This window comes from Homo sapiens, chromosome 7, assembly GCF_000001405.40.
Source record: "Homo sapiens chromosome 7, GRCh38.p14 Primary Assembly".
Classification (NCBI taxonomy): Eukaryota; Metazoa; Chordata; class Mammalia; order Primates; family Hominidae; genus Homo; species Homo sapiens.
In genome coordinates, this window is record NC_000007.14 from 151,008,496 (window position 1) to 151,028,276 (window position 19,781).

The window sequence follows — 19,781 nt, forward strand, 5'->3', positions numbered from 1 at the left end:
TGGAAAGCTAAGGGCTTTACATAAAGTATCTCATTTAATCTTCACCAGAACACAATGAGGTGTAAAGATGGGGAAACTGAGGCATGTCACTGTAAGTACGGGATTCGGAATTTGAATGCAGGTCTGAACACACAGACGCCTTCACAGAGCTACCGTGTGCCAAGCACTATGCTTCTCGGATCACGGGATTAACACGCACCAGATAAGGAACGATGCACCAATCAGGACGTGCAGAGAAAGAGCCAGCCGGGTCCCTGGGCCCAGCGGCCAATCCATGAAATGGGCTGGCGGAAAAGGTGCTGTCCTTGGCGCCGGCCTCAGCCACTGGGGCTGCCAACCCCCCAGGAGCAAGACGCAGTGAAGCCGCCCAGGCGCCTCACTAGGGCGACCCCTGGTGGCGGGAGGTCCTCAGCCCTCACCGGCCTGTCCCGCAGGCCGCCTGTGAGACCTTCTGTGTGGGAGAGGATGCCAAGGCCGCCGCCCGAGACATCTTCAGCCCCAAACGGAGCTGGAAGCGCCAGAGGTACCGGCTGAGCGCCCAGGCCGAGGGCCTGCAGTTGCTGCCAGGTGGGCCCTGCCCTCACCCTAACCCGGCTGGTTCTCTGAGGCCCCCACACCCCGGGACTAAAGCACTCTGGGGCCAGGCCCTGCTCCCTAGCTCAGGCTGCCTCATTTGCCCCTCCCCGCCCCCAGGTCTGATCCACGTGCACAGGCGGAAGATGTTCCAGGCTACAATCCGCTCAGTGGAAAACCTGCAAAGCAGCAAGTCCACGTGAGGACGACGGCTTTACCGCCCCCCCACCCCTGTCCTGAACACCCTGACCCTGGACCCTCCTCCTCCCACATTCTCCCGCCCCCACCCCTCTCTGACTCCCCATAAGTGCCCCTCTCCCCACCCCCAGGAGGGCCACCATCCTGGTGCGCCTGGACACCGGAGGCCAGGAGGGGCTGCAGTACCAGCCGGGGGACCACATAGGTGTCTGCCCGCCCAACCGGCCCGGCCTTGTGGAGGCGCTGCTGAGCCGCGTGGAGGACCCGCCGGCGCCCACTGAGCCCGTGGCAGTAGAGCAGCTGGAGAAGGGCAGCCCTGGTGAGGGGCAGCCTGGGAAGCAACAGGGCACACCAGCCCCATGCCCAGCCCCACCCCCGGCCCCAGGCCTCCAGGAGCTCAGGACCCGACCCAGGGGGTGGCCACCTCCTCCACAGCTCAGCAGGCAGGCTCAGAGCTGGCTGTGCTGCCCACTGCCGGGCTGGCCTTGTTGCTGGACCATCCCCACACCCTCAAATGCACCCCCACCAAAAGGCTGTCCCCTCCCTCTGGGCTCCTCTCCGAGGCTCCCCTAGCAATCTAGCTTGCTCTGGAGCTGGCACTGGGGCTATTTGCTGCCACATCAATGCCTGGGCTTTATTTAAAATAAGGGGGTGGAGTCAGAGGCAGAGGAGCCCAGACCAACCCAGTCCGGCCAGGGGCCCCCGAACAATACACTGAGGCTACCTAGACAGGCCGACCCCGCTGCTCAAGGGCAGGCTCTCTAACAGTCACCAAAACACAAACATCAGCCCAGGTACTGCAGTCCTGCTGGGCCCTGTCCTCAGAGCTCCCTGTGCACTATCCCCAGGTGGCCCTCCCCCCGGCTGGGTGCGGGACCCCCGGCTGCCCCCGTGCACGCTGCGCCAGGCTCTCACCTTCTTCCTGGACATCACCTCCCCACCCAGCCCTCAGCTCTTGCGGCTGCTCAGCACCTTGGCAGAAGAGCCCAGGGAACAGCAGGAGCTGGAGGCCCTCAGCCAGGTTGGGGGCCACCCCAATGAGGCACAGGGGCTAGAGAGACGGGATGAGCTGGGGGGACCCCAGTGGCAGGAAACCCCCATGCAAAGTCCCCCCTGGACTTTCTTCTCCTGGCCGACATGCACTGGTGCTTTAAGACCCAGCTCCTCAGGGAGGAATTCATGGCTGGATTCTCCAGGTCTTAGAGAAAACTCTATTGGCCTGAACTGAGCAGGGAGAAACCCTAAAGAGGCTCAGTGGGGGAGGGGTCAAGAAGGGAGGTTACTAGGAAGGGCTATGGGGCCTCCAACCCACTGCATCCTGCCCCGCCAGGATCCCCGACGCTACGAGGAGTGGAAGTGGTTCCGCTGCCCCACGCTGCTGGAGGTGCTGGAGCAGTTCCCGTCGGTGGCGCTGCCTGCCCCACTGCTCCTCACCCAGCTGCCTCTGCTCCAGCCCCGGTACTACTCAGTCAGCTCGGCACCCAGCACCCACCCAGGAGAGATCCACCTCACTGTAGCTGTGCTGGCATACAGGACTCAGGGTGAGGCAACAAGCAGGAGCAGGCCTGGCCACAGCAGGGTTGGGACCGGCCCCTCTCTGGCCCCTCACCGGCCTCTCCTTCCCACCCCCAGATGGGCTGGGCCCCCTGCACTATGGAGTCTGCTCCACGTGGCTAAGCCAGCTCAAGCCCGGAGACCCTGTGCCCTGCTTCATCCGGGGGTAAGTGAGATGGAAGACTTGGTGGGGAGCTGCCCAGGGTCAGGGTGGCAGCTTTGGTGAGGAGTGTCACTGGTGAGGGGTGTCACTGGAAACAGGAAGGAGCTCTGTAACATGTCAAGGGTGTGGTGTCATTAGGTCACTTCAGAACTCTGGCTAAGCTTTGGCTCTCTCATTCATTTAGACTCAGAGTTCTGCCCTGAAACTATAGCTCCCAGAGCCAGAGCTGGGATCAAACCGGCTGGCCCTGTGGCTTTCTGAAAGCTTCTGTGTTCCTCTCTATGTCCCTGGGCTGTCTGATGTTGGGCAGCATGGCACCTGGGAACTACAGTCACTAAATCCTCACTCAATCCAGGGAGAACTACTAGTTAGGGTTAAGACCACCCTTGGCCTTGGTGTCACCAAGGACTCAAAGAAGGTGAAGGTTTTGGTTTTTTTTTCCCCCAGAGATGGAGTCTTGCTCTGTCGCCCAGGCTGGAGTGCAGTGGTACGATCTCGGCTTACTGCAACCTCCGCCTCCCGGGTTCAAGAGATTCTCCTATGGCGTGAACCTGGGAGGTGGAGCTTGCAGTGAGCCAAGATTGTGCCACTGCACTCCAGCCTGGGCGACAGAGCCAGACTCTGTCTCAAAAAAAAAAAAAAAAATATTCTCCTGTCTCAGCCTCCTGAGTAGCTGGGATTACAGGCACCCACCACCACGCCCAGCTAATTTTTGTATTTTTAGTAGAGACGGTGTTTCACTATGTTGGCCAGGCTGGTCTCGAGCTCCTGACCTCACGATCCTCCCACCTCCGCCTCCCAAAGTCTTGGGATTACAGGTGTGAGCCACCGCGCCCGGACCGAGGGTGAAGGATTTTAAGAGACCCTTCCTTCATGCTGTGTCCAGAAGTCTTGCCCGCTCTCGCAGCCAGGAACCAAAAGTCCTGGTAGGACTGAGAACAGTTCCTAGGCTGCCATCAGCTGGGCCTGGTGATTCAAATCCACCCAGGTGGCTAAACTACAAATAAACCGTACCCATCTACTGAACATAAACTAAATACCACTATTAAGGATACTTAAAATAAACACACTTAGTGAACCCATTATGAACTGAAAGTGTCTTTCACCCTTCCCACGTTTTCTAAATCCCCTGAGTCATCTAAGTATTCTTCAATCCAAAATGAACTATATTTCCTTTGGTGCAATCTCCAGAAACCACAGATCCAAGGAGTTTCAGCAAGTAGAGTTGTTTTTTGTTTTTTGTTTTTTTTTTAATTTTTTTTTGAGATGGGAAGAACTTGGGTCCTCCTTGCTCCACCCACCCTGCATGGTGAGAATGGTGGAGCAGGAAAGGCAAAGGGGACCTGATGGAGTGTCTCTCCTGCCAGGGCTCCCTCCTTCCGGCTGCCACCCGATCCCAGCTTGCCCTGCATCCTGGTGGGTCCAGGCACTGGCATTGCCCCCTTCCGGGGATTCTGGCAGGAGCGGCTGCATGACATTGAGAGCAAAGGTGAGGCTGGGGACTAAAGGACTGCCTGAAGGGAGTCACACAATCTAGGGACAGAGGGGTGGGGCTGGAAGGCAGGAAATAGGAAAGAGAGGGCAGGAAACAAAGTCCACAAAGCTGAAAAGACGCTCATGAGACCAAGGGGAGGGCAGGTACCAAAGGCAAGGGCTGGGCCCTGAGCTTCTGGCTTCCTGGTGCCTGGTACATAGTAGGTGTTGACTGGATTGAGGACAAAGGAAAATAGAATTTTCAAAGGGATTAGGGCTAAGACTCAAAGAAGAACTGCCCAAGGTGGATTCTTGACTGTGCCAGAGCTGACCGAGGTCTGTCCAAGACCTAAGGATGCTACAAGGTGTTCATATTGAGCATGGGGTGCCCAGGGTGGTCTGTCAATCAAAAGAAGAGGGCTGTGACTGGGAGGAGAGTTATAAGTATGGGAGAATATGAAGTGGGAGCGGGGAAGGGGACTGCGATGTCACACAATGCAAAGGGCATGGAATTCTGAGTCCGAAGCCGCGCATTCTAGCGCAGCTCCACCAGGGGCCACCACCTCACCCGCGCTTCCCTTCCCTCTGTAAATCAGGGCTGTGCAGGGTCTCTGTGAAAGCATTCTACACTCTCTTAGAGATGAAACAGCCAAAGTAATGGTGGTTTCAGCCCAAAACGCTGGGCTGCCAGGCTGGGCGACGGTGGCCTGTGGGGAGGCCCCACTAGCACTGTGCCCCGGAGAAGAGCCTTCCCAAGCGCGGGGTTGCTTGCAGGGCTGCAGCCCACTCCCATGACTTTGGTGTTCGGCTGCCGATGCTCCCAACTTGACCATCTCTACCGCGACGAGGTGCAGAACGCCCAGCAGCGCGGGGTGTTTGGCCGAGTCCTCACCGCCTTCTCCCGGGAACCTGACAACCCCAAGGTGTGAGACCCTGAGGGCGCAATGGTAACCTGAAGATAGGGAGAGAGGGGAGGACTCGCGCTCTCCAGCGGGGCACACCAACCACGGCCCTCCCGTGGCCTCCCACGACCACTCAGCCACCCCTGCACACTCTGGCCCACCCTTGTGCCCCGGCCCCTCTAGGCCCGCCTCCTCCCGCCCCTGCCCCGCCCCTTTGGCTCTGCCCCTGTTGACACCGCCCCAGGGCACGCAGGCCCCACCAGGCCCGCTCCGGAGACTTTCACGTCCAGGGCCAGCCAGCAGCCCCGGGCTGCGCCCCCGCGCCCACCCCCACCAGGGCCCGCCCTAACCCCGCCGCCCCGCAGACCTACGTGCAGGACATCCTGAGGACGGAGCTGGCTGCGGAGGTGCACCGCGTGCTGTGCCTCGAGCGGGGCCACATGTTTGTCTGCGGCGATGTTACCATGGCAACCAACGTCCTGCAGACCGTGCAGCGCATCCTGGCGACGGAGGGCGACATGGAGCTGGACGAGGCCGGCGACGTCATCGGCGTGCTGCGGGTGCGGAGGGGCGGGCCGGGCCTGAGCGTGCGGGGTTCCTGCTAAGGTCTCCGAGTCGGGTTCTGATCCACTGTGCTCTTTTCCGACAGGATCAGCAACGCTACCACGAAGACATTTTCGGGCTCACGCTGCGCACCCAGGAGGTGACAAGCCGCATACGCACCCAGAGCTTTTCCTTGCAGGAGCGTCAGTTGCGGGGCGCAGTGCCCTGGGCGTTCGACCCTCCCGGCTCAGACACCAACAGCCCCTGAGAGCCGCCTGGCTTTCCCTTCCAGTTCCGGGAGAGCGGCTGCCCGACTCAGGTCCGCCCGACCAGGATCAGCCCCGCTCCTCCCCTCTTGAGGTGGTGCCTTCTCACATCTGTCCAGAGGCTGCAAGGATTCAGCATTATTCCTCCAGGAAGGAGCAAAACGCCTCTTTTCCCTCTCTAGGCCTGTTGCCTCGGGCCTGGGTCCGCCTTAATCTGGAAGGCCCCTCCCAGCAGCGGTACCCCAGGGCCTACTGCCACCCGCTTCCTGTTTCTTAGTCGAATGTTAGATTCCTCTTGCCTCTCTCAGGAGTATCTTACCTGTAAAGTCTAATCTCTAAATCAAGTATTTATTATTGAAGATTTACCATAAGGGACTGTGCCAGATGTTAGGAGAACTACTAAAGTGCCTACCCCAGCTCATGTGGATTACAGTTTTTTTTTTTTGTTTTTTTTTTTTTGAAACGGAGTCTCCCTCTGCCGCCCGGGCTGGAGTGCAGTGGCGTGATCTCAGCTCACTGCAACCTCCACCCCACAAGTTCAAGTGATTCTCCTGCCTCAGCCTCCCAAGTAGTTGGGATTACAGGTGCCTGCCACCGCGCCCGGCTAGGTTTTGTATTTTTAGTAAAGACGGGGTTTCACCATCTTGGCCAGGCTGGTCTTGAACTCCTGACCTCGTGATCCAACCGCCTCAGCCTCCCAAAGTGCTGGGATTACAGGTGTGAGCTACTGCACCCGGCGTGGATTACAATTATAAAATGACAAGATTTCTGTTTTAACCTGTGCAGTTGTGGGTATGTGGTGGGGAAAGGGGTCATTCTTTTGACAGAGTCCTACACGCCACTTGACCCTGCACTCTGAAAACATGGTTTCCAGCCAGTCTGGGCTGCTCCCCCGTGCAGTTCTCAGGCTCGTGATCGAGAAGGCAGGTGCAGCACTCAGCTGCCAGGAGTGGGGCCTGCCAGAAACAAGAGTCACAGAGATGTGCAACAGCCATGAGCAAGCTTTACTGCTTATTTCATACAGGATGGGGAGCCACACCCACTTCCTGGGACATCACACCCGTACTGAAGTCCAAAAACATCATCCCTCCCGTCTTTCCACTGACAAGTCCCCATCCCCTACAAGCCCCAAGGAACCTGAAAGTGCTGCTGGCAGCCGCCAGCATGACGAATCCACAGCCTTAAAGCCCACCTGCCTCACTGTCGCCCTTCCATTTAGCTCGGCCTCATCCTTGACCTCTGTCCCCCACCTTGAGGAAACTCGAGGACTTCTTCCCAGGCAGCTGCTCCAGGACACATTCCAGTTGGGGATGTCTCCCCTTATTCCCTCTGGGTGCAGACCATCTCTAAGACTTGTTTCCAGATGCCATCAGCATCTCCTCTCCTTGCCTACCTTTTCTCTGTTCTCGGGGCGAGTTCCTCACTGACTCCCAGGTCCTGCCCAACTAAAGCACCTGGGCCTGTCATCTATGGGGCCTCTAACAATGACTCCTTGTGTTTTTCTACTCCACCCTCCAATCTCCTGTGGCTGCCGAAGCCAGGGTACCTGTGGGAGGAGACGGCTCTTGGCAAGCAGTCCAGGGGTCTAGATTCCAGAGATGACCACCTCCCATCACCCCAAATTCCCACCACTGCTCCCATCGCTTCAAGTCGGACTCCAAACCAACTACCTATGCCGTCCTTTCTCCCTCCCCTCACAGGAGGCAATACTGACCCTGAGGAGTCGTCTCAGTCAGTGCAAGAGGCCCGGTCAGGCTCCTTCTGGGTGTCTGTGGTCACCTGAAACCCTCCGGGGAACAGATTCCGGGCCTTCTGGGTTCCCCACTGTTGTCTGGGGCTAGAGGCAGGACTGGAGCCTGGTGAAAAAGGCCATCAGCTGGGCAGTTCCATGATGCCCAGTGTCCACCAGGCTCTGTCCCCTGCAGGCCCCACCCTCCTCACCGTCACTTGACCAGGATGGCTTCTCCTCATCAGGCGAGGGTGGCTGTGAGGGGCTGGAGCAGGGCCTGGACAGGATGGAGGCTGCAGCCTCACCCCACGGCTCCTGCTGCTGCTGCTGCTGGTGAAGCTGCATGGAAAGGAGGAGGAATGAGGGCTGCACCCCAAGGAGGGCAGGGCCAAGCACCTGGGCTAGAGGCAGAGGGCTTTTCAGCCTCCTCCTGCCACTCTGCTAGACCCTTCCGTAGACTCCACCCCACCTCAGTCTCCATGTTGTTCACCTGCCTTCTCTCCACATTTCTCCTTTGGGCACCCCTCTACTCACCTGGTGCAGGTAGATGACATGGAGACTCATCTCGGCAGAAGCAAGTTCTGGGAGCTGGGCCAGCTTCTGGCCCCCAGTGCCTCCTGGGGACACAGAGCTGGAACATAACATGAAGCAGGTCAAAAGTCATGCCCTCCTCCCGCCACACCCCAGAGGACTCCCCTTCTGAATCCCCCCTCAGCGCCCCAGCTCCCCACTCCTACAGGATCAGCCCACCCCCCTCCACATGCCCCTGCATCTCAGCCTCCACTCCTCACCTGGGGTCCTGGGCAATTCGGGAAATGGAGGCAAGGAGGCTGGCTGTGGCCGCAGCTGGACAGGGGGCTGTCGGGCTCAGATCTCTCGGAGGCAGGAGAGGGTGCACGAAGAGGTTGGCCAGGAAGGCCTCAGGCTGGGTGCAAGAGGAGAGGGAAAGCCAAAGAGGGAGTCAGAAGAGAGGACAGAAACGGAGTAGGGAGGAAGCAGAGGCCTAAAGAAGGCAGGAGAGCAGGCTGGGGGCGGGGGCTGGTGAGGCAGGTTACTACCTAAGGTGAGCCTAGAGGGGAAGGGTTTGGAGAGGAGTTGTGGGGGTGAAGGCAGAAGGGGAGGCCAGGCTTGGGACTCACCAGGGGCGAGGTGCAGTTGCTGAGCACCCCCGGGGTGGAGGGGCCGCGAGCCGAGGTGGCACCCCAGGCAGCTGCATCTTGTTGTACTCGGCCCCAGAGGTGCCCAAGAAACTTAGAGCTGTGCCCTGGGGGGCGCCAGAGTGGATGCGCCAGGGAGAACCGCATCAAAGAAAGCTCAGTCTTGCCGTCCTCCGCACGCTGAGACAGCGAGGCCTCAGTCTGTCCCGCCGAGAGCCACTGTGAGCAAGGACAGTCTTTCAGGTGCTAAGAACACTGAGCCTTATGGGAACAGGTGGGACAGGAAACACTGCCCCATCTTCCACGTGAAGGAAACAGACCACAATGGGGACTTGTTCACCATCACCCAAAAATACAGCAGCAGTGCAGAACCTGGGCCTGTCATCTATTCGTCACCCCTGGACTGATTGCCAGCTCGGGGATAGGGCTGAGCCTCAGTGCTTTGCCCAGGGTGATCCTGACAGCCTTGGTCCAGGCACCAGTCCTTACTCAGCCCCACCCACCGGCCAAGCCCATTCCTCACCCCCAGGTGGTCTTTGCTCCCATTTACTGACGTTACTATGTGCCAGCAACTCCATCATAGGCTATACAGACATAATCTGTGTGTTCACAAGCCTGGCCTTGGCTGTGCTCTGGAGAGCACATTGCCATTGTTGCCATCTGACAGACGAGGGCACGAGAGCACAGGAAGGGAAGTGACCCGCTCAACGGCACAGGTAGCAAGCAATGGAGCCAGGGCTGGAACTCAGGTCTGCTCCCGAGAGGCAAGCGAACTCCCACCCAGCCCAAACCCCCAGGGCCAGGGAACGGCTCTGACCTGAGGGTGTCCGTGGCGCTTCACATCCATAAGGGCAAAGGAACAGATGTCCCCAACCCCAGCCACATCCACAGTGAAGTGATGAAAAAAGTCGATAATCTCCAGGGCACGAGGGCGGAACCAGAAAAGCAGAAACAGCGGGGTGAGGAGCGGGGACAGGAGCTCCTCCAGGAGGGAGACCTGGGGAAGCAGCGGTGAGGCTGAGCAGGGGTCGCTGAGGGGCCCACGCGCGTTATCAGGACCAAGCAGTCCCCAGCGACCCTCGCCAGGGCAAGAAGCCTCCCCACCCAGTCACTCCCTAGACTCCTGGTATAGTCCGTTTGTCTCATGCCCTCTCCCAGACAGACCCTCCGCGCAGACAGACCCTCCGCGCAGACAGACCCCACAACTTCCTCCTCAGCCCGCCGTCGCGCCCACCCTCACCGCTCGGTACTGCAGCAGCTGCGCCATCTGCCGGTAGGCGCGGTCCCTGCCGCCGGGGCCGGGCTCCTCCGGGAGGTAGTGCATGTGGGCCAGGGCTGTCTGCAGCAGGAGCTGCGGCGCACGACCCTGGCACTGCTCTTCCGGAATGAAAGACCTGAAAGGCGGGATCCGTGGGGGGAAGGGGCCTGCGATTAGGAGGACGCGCGGTGGGATGTAGGGCTAGAGGGCCCCAGTGGTGGGAGAGGTAAGGATTCGGGGGGAACCTCACATGGCCCCAGATCAGAGAAACCAACACACACCACCACCCCGGGCATCTGCCGTCGCACCTGGCGACGGTGGCGGTGACCCCGAGCGCGGTCATGGCGGTGAGCACGTGCTCCACGGCTAGCACGTCCTCGTCGTAGACGGTGAGCACAAGCAGCGCGGCGAAGAGTGCACCCGCGAAGAAAACGAGCTGGCGGGCCAGCAGCGTGCGCAGGGGCGCGGGGGGCGCAGCGGTGCGCAGGAAGGCGGCGGCGGGGCGGTAGGCGCGGGCCAGGCGCGCGCGCAGCTCGTGCGGCAGCTCGTTGAAGTGGCGCAGCTGCAAGCGCGCCAGGCGGGACCAGCCGCGCGCCCCCAGCGCGCCAGGCTCGCGCCGCAGCAGCTCCACGTGGCTATAGAAGACGTGCAGAACCTGCCAGGCCAGCACCAGCGGGCTCAGCGCCAGGTTCAGGGCGGCCAGCAGCAGCACTGTGCGCCCCCAGCGCGCTGCTAGGGCGCCCCGCTGGTCGCTGCGCTTGTAGGCGTGCGGCAGCTCCCAGCCCCCGCGGAAGAGCGAGAAGGGACCGCGGAAGAGCAGCAGGTCGACATTGAGCGCCAGGCCGCGGCTGAGGAAAGCCGCACTGCCTCCCCAGGGCAGCGGGCAGCGGGCCGGCAGCAGGCCTTTGTTGGCCAGCGCCACCTGGTAGTTGGTGTAGCGCAGGATGCGGTGGTGGATGTCCAGCTCCGTCAGGGGCCGCGGCTGCACGCACAGGCCCCCGCTCCGCTGCAGTGCCAAGAGGCGGGACTGCACCTCTGCCCAGGGAACCGAGCTCAGCTCCTCCTGAAAGGGGCACTGATGAGAGCCAGCGACCCCCCATTCCTCTCCACAGTGATGCTCAAGCTCCACACCCCTAAGTGTGCGGCCTGAAAACCCGCAAACTGAGTTTGCGATCACAAACTCGCCATGACCAAGCTACATCGTCCCCCTCTCCCACCTTTCTCTTTCTGCCCTCCCTTAACCCTGTCACTAACAAGGGCGCGCCCTACTTCCTTCATCCTCTTCTAAACTGCCCTGTTCATCATCCCTGCCATTCATGTGGCCAGTAGTCATGCACTTCCTGGGGACGCCTCCAGGTGCTGGACCTGGCTTCTCAGCTCCTTAAGGGCCTGAGGCCCCCTCAGTTGTACACACAAAACAGACTGGCTGGCCAGGGGCGGTGGCTCACACCTGTAATCCCAGCACTTTGGGAGGCTGAGGCAGGCAGATCGTCTGAGCTTAGGAGCTCGAGACCAGCCTGGGCAACATGGTGAGACACTGTCTCTACTAAAAATACAAAAAATAGCAGGGCGTGGTGGTGTGCACCTGTGGTTGCAGCTACTGGGGAGCAGAGGCTGCAGTGAGCCAATATCACAGCACTGCACTCCAGCCTGGGTGAAAGACCCAGACCCTGTCTCAAAAGAAACAAAACAAACAAAAAAACAAAAAACCAGAATGTCTGGCAGTTCGTGGGAGAATCTCTCCTTCCCATTTCTAGTGCACCCACCAACTCTGGAACAGAATCCTCCCCACCTTCTGCCTGGGCATGCTTTACACTCCCAGCCCCACCCGACTCCAGGCCATCTTCGGCTCTGTCACCAGAAGCCTTCCCAGGACCTGGGCTATGTCCACATCTGGCAGTGGGGCACTGTCAGATCTCATTTGAAGGCTGCAAACCTCACTTCAGCCCAGTTTCACTCAGCTTTCCCAGTCCAGGTTAGTCAAGTCCCCCAGGCTGGCCTCTCCAGTACATCCCAGTGTCTTCCCTTCCCTTCCCCTGGAAGGAACAGGGGAGGAGGGGAAAGAAGGGAGGAGGAGAACGAGACGGGTGAGCAGTCTCCCGCCAGAGCCAATCCGAGGTCCAGCTTCCGCTCTCACCACCTCTGCTTCCCCGGCCTCCTCCCTCTCCTCTGCTCAGGGGCCTTCTAAGACCTCTCCCCTTGCTGCACATAAAGGCTGTGCAGAGGGCTCCGGACCTCCCAGGGGAGCAAGGGAAGCAAGCTGCAGAAGGCTACTTTCAAGCTGTGCCTCAAAGAAAGAACTTAGATACAGAGGAGGGAGGAGCAGACTCAAGATGGTGAGGAAACAAAGGGCAGAGCATAAGCAGTGGACAGTGACAGGCCAATGCAGTGGCTTCCTGCAATGCGGGGGATGGCTTTGAAGGCTCTGTTTTAGGCTGATGGGTCCATCTCCTCACTGCAGCTTCCAAAAGCTCATGGCTTTTCCCCACCTTCCTGCACTGGGGCTTAGAATGTGCTCCCCTCCCCTCCTGTCCTGCCCTTCCGAAGCCCAACCCAAATTCCTCCAGCTCTGAAAAGCCAGATAACTGCCCTTTCTCTTTTCTCTAATCAATGTTTTTAGCACAAACATGTAACTATATGTCATCTTATATGAGCCATCTAAATAAACTAAACTCCCTTAGGGTAAGGGCCATGCTCTCTAGGTGGTGGTAGCCCCCTCCTGACATTATTCTGGGCCTAGGGCAGGTGTCAATAAGACCTCGCTCTTTCTGCCCTCTTTCCAGTTGGCCCTTCCACCTGTACAGTCCCACTTCTTCCCCTCTCCTCTGCCCACCCTCTCACGGCACCCTCTGCACAGACACAGCCACCCAGCTCACCGGGGGGATGTGCAGGGCCTCCCTGTAAAACACCTGGATGTCCCAGTAGCTGAAGAGGTTGCAGACTGAGCGAAGCAGTTGGACCAGCCAGAAGCCGGCAGCCAGGACCAGGAGGAGGACCAGCAGCGGGCTGGAGCGGATCCTGTATGGGGTTGGGCGGGCAGTGGGGGAGAAAGGTGGGCGCCTGAGAAAGAGGCAGACCAGACTTCGGGAGTGAGGAAAAACCATCATGAGGAGGGGGATCTAGCTAGACCAGCAGCTCTCAAGGTAGAGCCCGGGGCAGGGGGTGGGTGCTGAAGTGGCCTTCACAAATGTGCAAAGTCAAACTTTTTCCAAATAATACTAATGCTTTCTGATGTTTTCATTCTTGTACTCTGAGAGTACAGTGGAGTTTTCCAGAGGCTACAAGACACGTGAACATGTCACATCACACTGACAGCTGATGAAATGTGTGCTTGTACACTCTTTTTTTTTTTTTTTGAGATGGAGTCTTGCTGTGTCGCCCAGGCTGGAGTGCAGTGGCGCAATCTTGGCTCACTGCAACCTCCACCTCCCGGGTTCAAATGATTCTCCTGTCTCAGCCTCCAGGGTAGCTGGGACTACAGGCGCCCGCCACCACACCTGGCTAATTTTTGTATATTTTAGTAGAGACAGGGTTTCACCATGTTGGCCAGAATGGTTTTGATCTCCTGACCTTGTGATCCGCCCGCCTCGGCCTCCCAAAGTGCTGAGATTACAGGTGTGAGCCACCACGCCCAGCCGCACTCTTACATTTTAAAGTTGTTCTCAGCTACAATTTCCTTCTTTTTTTTTTTTCCTTTTTATTGAAACAAGGTCTCTCTCTGTTACCCAGGCTGTAGTGCAGCAGTAGAAACATAGCTCCTATCTCCCTGCCAAATAACGGCCCAGGTCTGGAACAGTTATTTGGTTGGTTGGCAAAGAGAACATTGCAATCCATGCTTCAGGGAGGAAGGTTGTGAAGGCAACAATGAAAATGAATCGTCTGCTGGGAGGGAGGAGGGTGTAGGGATGCTGCAGTGATCAGAGACAGTCACTGTCTTAGCCTCCTGACTAGGCTTAGCTAGGACTGCAGGTACGCACCACCAAGCCCAGCTAATTTTTATTTTTTATAGAGATGTGGTCTCACTTTGTTGCTCAGGCTGATCTCAAACTTCTGGCTTCAAGCAATCCTCCTGCCTCAGCCTCCCAAAGTGCTGGGATTACAGGTGTGAACCACTATGCCCGGCCTAATTTTAATTTTTTATAAGGTAAAATGTGGATAGATACGACTCCCATAAACAAAAGCTTTTCAGGATTCTCAACCAATTTTAAGTGTATTAAGATACACTTAATGCACTGTAATTAAGATACACTTAAAAGGCCGGGCACAGTGGCTCACACCTGTAATCCCAGCACTTTGGGAGGCCAAAGTGGGTGGATCACCTGAGGCCAGGAGTTCCAGACCAGCCTGGCCAACATGGTGAAACCCTGTCTCTACTAAAAATACACGTGGTGGTGCACGCCTATAATCCCAGCTACTGGGGAGGCTGAGGCAGGAGAATTGCTTGAACCTGGGAGGTGGAGGTTGCAGTGAGCCAAGACCTCACCATTGCACTCCAGCCTGAGCAACAAGAGTGAAACTCTGTCTTAAAAAAAAAAAAAGATATACTTAATACACTTTAAGTACAACTTAATACACTTAAGTACAACTTAAAGTATATTAAGTGTATTTTTGGTCCTAAGACCAAAAGCTTTGAGAACTGCTGATCTAGATGACGGGACAAAGTGGGGCTCCCGTCTACTCCTCTACCCACTGCCCATGCTTCACCCCCAGGGCCCCACCAGGTTGTCACTAACCTCTCAGCACACTGGGCTGAGGGTAGGATGGCATCTGACAGGGTCACTTTGCTGTGGAACGGCCCAGGTCTGGTATGGTTACTTGGTTGGTTGGCAAAGAGAACATTGTAATCCACGCATCGAAGGAGGAAGGTTGTGAAGGTGACAATGAAAATAAATTGTCTGCCGGGAGGAAGGGGGGGTGCCGGGATGCTGCAGTGATCAGGGACAGCCAGGTGGGCTCCTGCCCCAGCCCCCAGAGCAGCCCATGGTTATCCTCCCTGACCCTGCCCCTGCTGAGCCCTTGGGCTGCTCGGGAAAGCATGGGATGGAAGCAGCTGGCACAATTAAGGAAGCAAAATGACAGAAGGAAGCCATGGGCCCAGGGGACCGAGTTCCGGGCCCGGGCTAAGCGTCTCACCCCAGCTGGAAGACATCCTCCAGCAAGATGCAGGCAAAGCCATTCCGCTGGTGGTAGCTGTAGATGTGGCTGCGTGTCAAGGAACAAGCCTGAGGCACGGGGGGCCTCTCCTGAGGACACCTCCCCTCAGCCCCAACAAGTCTCCCACCCATGACGCCCTCACGGAGTCTCCCTGCCAAGAACAGTGCCAGCTCCAAGAGGACCTTCCCATGCCACCTCTGCAGGCCTAGCGCAAAGGATATCTTGGTGAAGAAACTGTCCAGGTTCTGGATGTGATGCCAGGAGCCTGGGCACAGAGGGGAGAGTGTCAGCCCCTGGCATGTGATCAATTCTCCACGTTCTCAACCCGCTGCCAGAGGCCCAGCCTGGGATAAGTACTGGAGCTCCCAGGCACCACTAACCCTCTCCCACCCACACCCACACACATACCTCGGAGCCCTTCAGGGACATGAAGCAGGGGTTGCTGCTCCTCCCCGTGGATGGGTGAGTCTTGGGACCCCTCAGGGTCACAGTCCTCCAGCCGCTCATAATCCTGTTCAGGGATCAAAGGGCCTACCCGCAGCCCAGGAGAGTCCTGGGGGCACTGCTGTGAGGGAGTGGGGGTTGCCGGGGCCAGGGGTGGGGTGGAGTGGGATCCCCAGGAGGGAGATGCAGAGGCAGGTGTCATTGCAGGTTGAGCCTGTGTTGGGGGGGTGGCTGGGATAGGGAGAGCACTGTGGCAAGACTGAGAAGCCCCTGTCCCCTGTAGCACTGAGCAAGGGGGCCCTGCGGTGGGAGGGGAAAATGAGGAGGGGGAGCTTCTTGTATGAGGGGCAGGGGACAGAGAGAAGATGGAGATCCTCCCTCCCCCAGGTCCCCGGCATGAAGGAGGAGGAGGAGGTGGCAGTGGCATGGGGAGGAGGGGCACCGATCCGGGCCCCAGATCTCCCCACCGCCCCAGCCGCCTTCTTCTCCCCCCCCAGCCCATTCGGCTCACCATCAGGCCACGGCTTCTCCAGAAAGGTTGGAAGGATGGGAGCTGTTGTTGCTTCCACAAAGGTCTGTGACACTGAGCTGGGACTTCAACAGGAACAATGACAACAACATTACTAGGTGACTCAGCCTAGGCAGGCCTCAGGCGTCCCAGCTCTCAGTCACCTGTCTGATCACTCACACCCCTTCCAGGGCAACCTGAGGCCAAATCCCTCAGGGCCTGAGAGGGGCATCAGTTTAAGAGGAGGGGCCAAAGAGCACATTGAGATGAGAAGATTCCTATTATCTCCATCTTCAGACCTTGAATGAATGAAAGATAAAAAGAACAGCAGCCAAAATGACAAAAGCAAAAAGCAAAATCGTGTTAGAGCCAGGTGTGGTGATGTGTGCTTGTGTTCCTAGCTACTCAAGAGACTGAGGTGGGAGGATGGCTTGGTGCAGGTTACACTGGAACAGTATAGGTTACAGTGAGCTAGATCCTGCCCCCTGCCACCCCCCCCAAAAACATCCTATTAAAGGATTGTAGCAGGGCGCAGTACCTCACACTTGTAATCAATCTCAGCACTTTGGGAAGCCGAGGAAAGAGGATTGCTTGAGGCCAGGAGTTCAAGACCAGCCTGGGGAACAGAATGAGAAGACTCCATCTCTACAACAAATCTTAGGACCAAGATGTTAACTATTTCATTTCTTAAGAGTGTACCTCCCCCACTTCCCTCCACACACACACTACAGTGATCAACAGAGAAATGTTTTGTGACCAAAACAGAAAAGAAGAAGTAAAGGGGCCAGGCATGTTGGCTTACACCCGTAATCCCAGGACTTTGGGAGGCCCGGGCGAGAGGATCACTTGAGGCCAGGAGTTCGAGACCAGCCTGAGCAACTTAGGGAAACACCATCTCTACAAAATCTAAAAAACAAACAAAATAATTTTTTTTCTTTTTGAGGCAGTCTCACTCTGTCACCCAGACTGGAGTATAGTGGCACAATCTCGGCTCACTGCAACCTCCGCCTCCCAAGTTCAAGTGATTCTTCTGCTTCAGCCTCCTGAGTAGCTGAGACTACAGGTGTGTGCCACCACACCCAGCTAATTTTTTGTATTTTTAGTAGAGATGGGGTTTCACCATGTTGGCCAGGCTGGTCTTGAACTCCTGACCTCGTGATCCACCCGCCTTGGCCTCCCAAAGTGCTGGCATTACAGGCGTGAGCCACTGCGCCTGGTCAAAAATAAATTTTTTAAAAAGAATAAGAAAAGGTTGCATGTTTTATTGGTCTGAGGTGCTAAGGAAGAGAAGAGGGGAGGCTGACTTTGCAGCCAAGTTGGGGAAAACTAAGAAGAGGAGGTGAAGAAAGGAAAGGCAGCTATCTTGGATTTGAGAGTTGGTTTGGAGAACTTAGAGTAGAAAATTGGGGTTCTCTGAAAGTTCCATTCCGTTTGCATCCTTATCATTTTCAACTGTGACATTCTCTCAAGTCCGGATCCCACTTCTGGGACCCCCTGAAAAGCATCAGGGCTGAATCAGAAGGGAGGACAGCTGTGAGTCTGGGACTTGGAAGGATAATTTGGATACCCAGGGAGGAGCTGAACTGAGTTCCTTGTTGTCACCTCAACAAGGAGGAGGAGACCCAGGCAGCTGGTCTGGTGGCTTGCCCAACGCCATTCTTGAGGCCCTGAATCACCAGGTTTCCTTCTAAAGCCCATTACTGAGATACTGACTCAGCCACCAGGTGTCAAGGTCTCTAGGGCTTAGGCCTAAGGGCTGATGTTGGGGCCAGTACCCCTGAAATGGCGATATGGACACTGTGCTTCCCAGATTGTTCACTGGAGGCAATCATGGAATCACCCACAAAACTTGAATCCAGATGTGCCTGATTTTCTCCTTCTGTGTGGGGTATTGTAGTAGTAGCTCAGGTCTTGCATGCCTTTATCTCAGAGTAGGAGGCAGAGCTATGAAAACAAGACCCTGTCCTTCTAGAGGTAGCAAAATGGAATCCCACATTGCAGAGGGGCCAGGAAATTCCCATAATCTTTCTGAGACATCTGTCAAGATGGGTTATGTGGGGTGTTGTCTAGTCTCTCCCCCACCTCACTCGCCCAATGTCACTCAGTATCGTGGCTATTCCACCATAGTCACAATAGGACCCCCCCATACACCAAGAGCTCCCCAGCTCAACCCCAAACTAATCCTGGGACATTGTCCTACCTAGTTTCACCCTGAATTCATTCTCATTGACAGCCTCCCTACCACCACTCCCAATTCAAGTCGATTTATTTTAAAGGGCACTTTTCCTTGCCAAGCATTTGGAAGGGAAGAGGACAGATGAATAAAACAGAGCCACTACCCAAGAAGCTGCAGCCCAGTGGGGAGACAAATACGCAAACAAGTAATTACAGGGAAGAAACGAGTGGTGCAAACTCTTTGGCAGGAGCCTGAGGCAAGTCATTCTGACCCGGGTGAGGAAGGTATCTGCGAGGCAGACAGATCTGAGGCCGCGCCTTGATAAATTACAGGCCCTCCATACCAATAGTTCTCAATGGCTGAGGCGTAGGGCAAGAGTGTCAGAATCACCGGGGGAGTTCTTCCCCAAGTACACGTGACTGTGGGGAAAAGAAAGAGAGATCAGATTGTTCCTGTGTCTGTGTAGAAAGAAGTAGACATAGGAGACTCCATTTTGTTCTGTACTAAGAAAAATTCTTCTGCCTTGAGATGCTGTTGATCTGTAACCCTACCCCCAACCCTGTGCTCCCTGAAACATGTGCTGTGTCAACTCAGGGTTAAATGGATTAAGGGCTGTGCACGGTGTGCTTTGTTAAACAAATTCTTGAAGGCAGCATGCTTCTTAAGAGTCATCACCACTCCCTAATCTCAAACCACTCCCTAATCTCAAGTACCCAGACACAAAACACTGAGGAAGGCTGCAGGGACCTCTGCCTAGGAAAGCTAGGTATTGTCCAAGGTTTCTCCCCATGTGATGAAATATGGCCTCGTGGGAAGGGAAAGACCTGACCGTCCCCCAGCCCGACACCCATAAAGGGTCTGTACTGAGGAGGATTAGTAAAAGAGGAAGGAATGCCTCTTTGCAGTTGAGATAAAAGAAAGGCTTCTGTCTCCTGCTCGTCCCTGGGCAATGGAAATGTCTCGGTGTAAAGCCTATCTCTACTGAGATAGGGGAAAACCGCCTTAGGGCTGGAGGTGGGACAGGCTGGCAGCAATACTGCTTCTTAAGGCATTGTGATGTTTATGTGTATGCACATCAAAAGCACAGCATTTTTTTTTTTACCTTGTTTACGATGCAGAGACGTTTGTTCACGTGTTTACCTTCTGACCTTCTCTCCACTATTATCCTATTATCCTGCCATACCCGATAATGATCAATAAATACTAAGGGAACTCAGAGGCTGGTGCCGGCGTGGATCTTCCGTAAACTGAACTCCGGTCTCCTGGGCCCATTTTTCTTTCTCTATACTTTGTCTCTCTGTCTCTTTCTTTTCCAAGTCTCTCCTTCCACCTAATGAGAAACGCCCACAGGTGTGGAGGGGCAACCCACCCCTTCACGTGACAGATGTCCCAGCAGTTCTGACGCACCTAGGAGAGCGGGGTGGGTGGCAGGGCATATGTACGTGTTTTGAAAAAACTCCCAGTCGATTTTTGTTCATTCCTCCCCCAAAACCCGCGTTCTACACGCCCTTGAGACGACGGGACATCTAGAGATCCTGGAGCCTTGGGAAAATGGCCCGAGGTCGGCGGCTGACGCGTTACTATGGATACTCCATAGCTTGGAGGGCCAGTCGGGCCACACCCTTTGGACGTCACCCGGAGCCCACAGGAGCACCTGGCAAAAGCCAGGCCCACTTCCTGCTC

General features: G+C 56.6%; 2 protein-coding genes and 1 long non-coding RNA gene across 9 annotated transcripts in view, besides 7 other annotated features; 1 reads left to right on the plus strand and 2 right to left on the minus strand.

The window, feature by feature from the left end:
- Positions 1-6,093, plus strand: part of NOS3 (nitric oxide synthase 3) — a 23,572-nt gene extending 17,479 nt beyond the window's left edge. The window contains exons 18-27 of the mRNA NM_000603.5: positions 435-567; positions 694-772; positions 903-1,090; positions 1,620-1,792; positions 2,102-2,312; positions 2,404-2,491; positions 3,856-3,977; positions 4,736-4,884; positions 5,229-5,423; positions 5,513-6,093. Of these exons, the coding sequence (NP_000594.2) occupies positions 435-567; positions 694-772; positions 903-1,090; positions 1,620-1,792; positions 2,102-2,312; positions 2,404-2,491; positions 3,856-3,977; positions 4,736-4,884; positions 5,229-5,423; positions 5,513-5,674 (1,500 nt within the window). The 3' untranslated portion in view covers positions 5,675-6,093. The remainder of the gene's footprint in view (positions 1-434; positions 568-693; positions 773-902; positions 1,091-1,619; positions 1,793-2,101; positions 2,313-2,403; positions 2,492-3,855; positions 3,978-4,735; positions 4,885-5,228; positions 5,424-5,512) is intronic.
- Positions 250-299: an enhancer, noted in NCBI's record as "active region_26844". NCBI's record gives its function as "activates an Ori minimal core promoter by ATAC-STARR-seq in GM12878 lymphoblastoid cells {active_cell/tissue: GM12878}" and the evidence as "EXISTENCE:reporter gene assay evidence [ECO:0000049][PMID:35858748]".
- Positions 3,714-16,004, minus strand: ATG9B (autophagy related 9B). 6 transcript variants are annotated; one of them, NR_073169.1, is made up of 18 exons: positions 15,926-16,004; positions 15,379-15,532; positions 15,192-15,235; positions 14,950-15,014; positions 14,550-14,711; positions 12,693-12,834; positions 9,799-9,952; positions 9,376-9,555; positions 8,541-8,777; positions 8,193-8,326; positions 7,936-8,032; positions 7,614-7,740; positions 7,387-7,528; positions 6,865-7,218; positions 6,451-6,628; positions 5,587-5,794; positions 5,235-5,417; positions 3,714-4,913 (listed from the first exon to the last, which is right to left on the minus strand). NR_073169.1 is itself a non-coding variant. In XM_011516065.3 (14 exons), exons 1-13 carry the CDS (start codon positions 15,926-15,928, stop codon positions 7,401-7,403), a joined length of 2,775 nt encoding a protein of 924 aa, XP_011514367.3. In that variant the 5' UTR covers positions 15,929-15,999; the 3' UTR covers positions 6,007-6,628; positions 7,387-7,400. The 6 variants fall into 6 exon arrangements, 2 of the variants coding, with proteins under 2 accessions (XP_011514367.3, NP_001303985.1); NR_133652.1 differs by lacking the exon at positions 6,865-7,218 and adding an exon at positions 10,125-10,879 and having other exon boundaries at positions 6,508-6,628; positions 15,379-16,004; XR_007060009.1 differs by lacking the exons at positions 6,451-6,628; positions 6,865-7,218 and adding an exon at positions 10,125-10,879 and having other exon boundaries at positions 3,717-4,913; positions 5,235-5,794; positions 15,379-15,999.
- Positions 4,795-5,486: an enhancer, noted in NCBI's record as "H3K27ac-H3K4me1 hESC enhancer chr7:150710378-150711069 (GRCh37/hg19 assembly coordinates)". NCBI's record gives its function as "activates a minimal SCP1, AML or CMV promoter by ChIP-STARR-seq in primed H9 embryonic stem cells {active_cell/tissue: H9 hESC(primed)}" and the evidence as "EXISTENCE:reporter gene assay evidence [ECO:0000049][PMID:30033119]".
- Positions 5,122-5,321: a silencer, noted in NCBI's record as "silent region_18789". NCBI's record gives its function as "represses an Ori minimal core promoter by ATAC-STARR-seq in GM12878 lymphoblastoid cells {active_cell/tissue: GM12878}" and the evidence as "EXISTENCE:reporter gene assay evidence [ECO:0000049][PMID:35858748]".
- Positions 10,546-10,615: a silencer, noted in NCBI's record as "silent region_18790". NCBI's record gives its function as "represses an Ori minimal core promoter by ATAC-STARR-seq in GM12878 lymphoblastoid cells {active_cell/tissue: GM12878}" and the evidence as "EXISTENCE:reporter gene assay evidence [ECO:0000049][PMID:35858748]".
- Positions 16,500-19,763, minus strand: LOC124901777 (uncharacterized). Of its 2 annotated transcripts, none has more exons than XR_007060593.1 (3): positions 19,468-19,763; positions 18,312-18,517; positions 16,500-16,538 (listed from the first exon to the last, which is right to left on the minus strand). It is a non-coding gene; the product is annotated as an uncharacterized LOC124901777 (long non-coding RNA). The 2 variants fall into 2 exon arrangements; XR_007060594.1 differs by lacking the exon at positions 16,500-16,538 and adding an exon at positions 16,790-16,828.
- Positions 16,910-17,514: an enhancer, noted in NCBI's record as "H3K27ac-H3K4me1 hESC enhancer chr7:150722492-150723096 (GRCh37/hg19 assembly coordinates)". NCBI's record gives its function as "activates a minimal SCP1, AML or CMV promoter by ChIP-STARR-seq in naive H9 embryonic stem cells {active_cell/tissue: H9 hESC(naive)}" and the evidence as "EXISTENCE:reporter gene assay evidence [ECO:0000049][PMID:30033119]".
- Positions 18,120-18,723: an enhancer, noted in NCBI's record as "NANOG-H3K27ac hESC enhancer chr7:150723702-150724305 (GRCh37/hg19 assembly coordinates)". NCBI's record gives its function as "activates a minimal SCP1, AML or CMV promoter by ChIP-STARR-seq in naive H9 embryonic stem cells {active_cell/tissue: H9 hESC(naive)}" and the evidence as "EXISTENCE:reporter gene assay evidence [ECO:0000049][PMID:30033119]".
- Positions 18,724-19,328: an enhancer, noted in NCBI's record as "NANOG-H3K27ac hESC enhancer chr7:150724306-150724910 (GRCh37/hg19 assembly coordinates)". NCBI's record gives its function as "activates a minimal SCP1, AML or CMV promoter by ChIP-STARR-seq in naive H9 embryonic stem cells {active_cell/tissue: H9 hESC(naive)}" and the evidence as "EXISTENCE:reporter gene assay evidence [ECO:0000049][PMID:30033119]".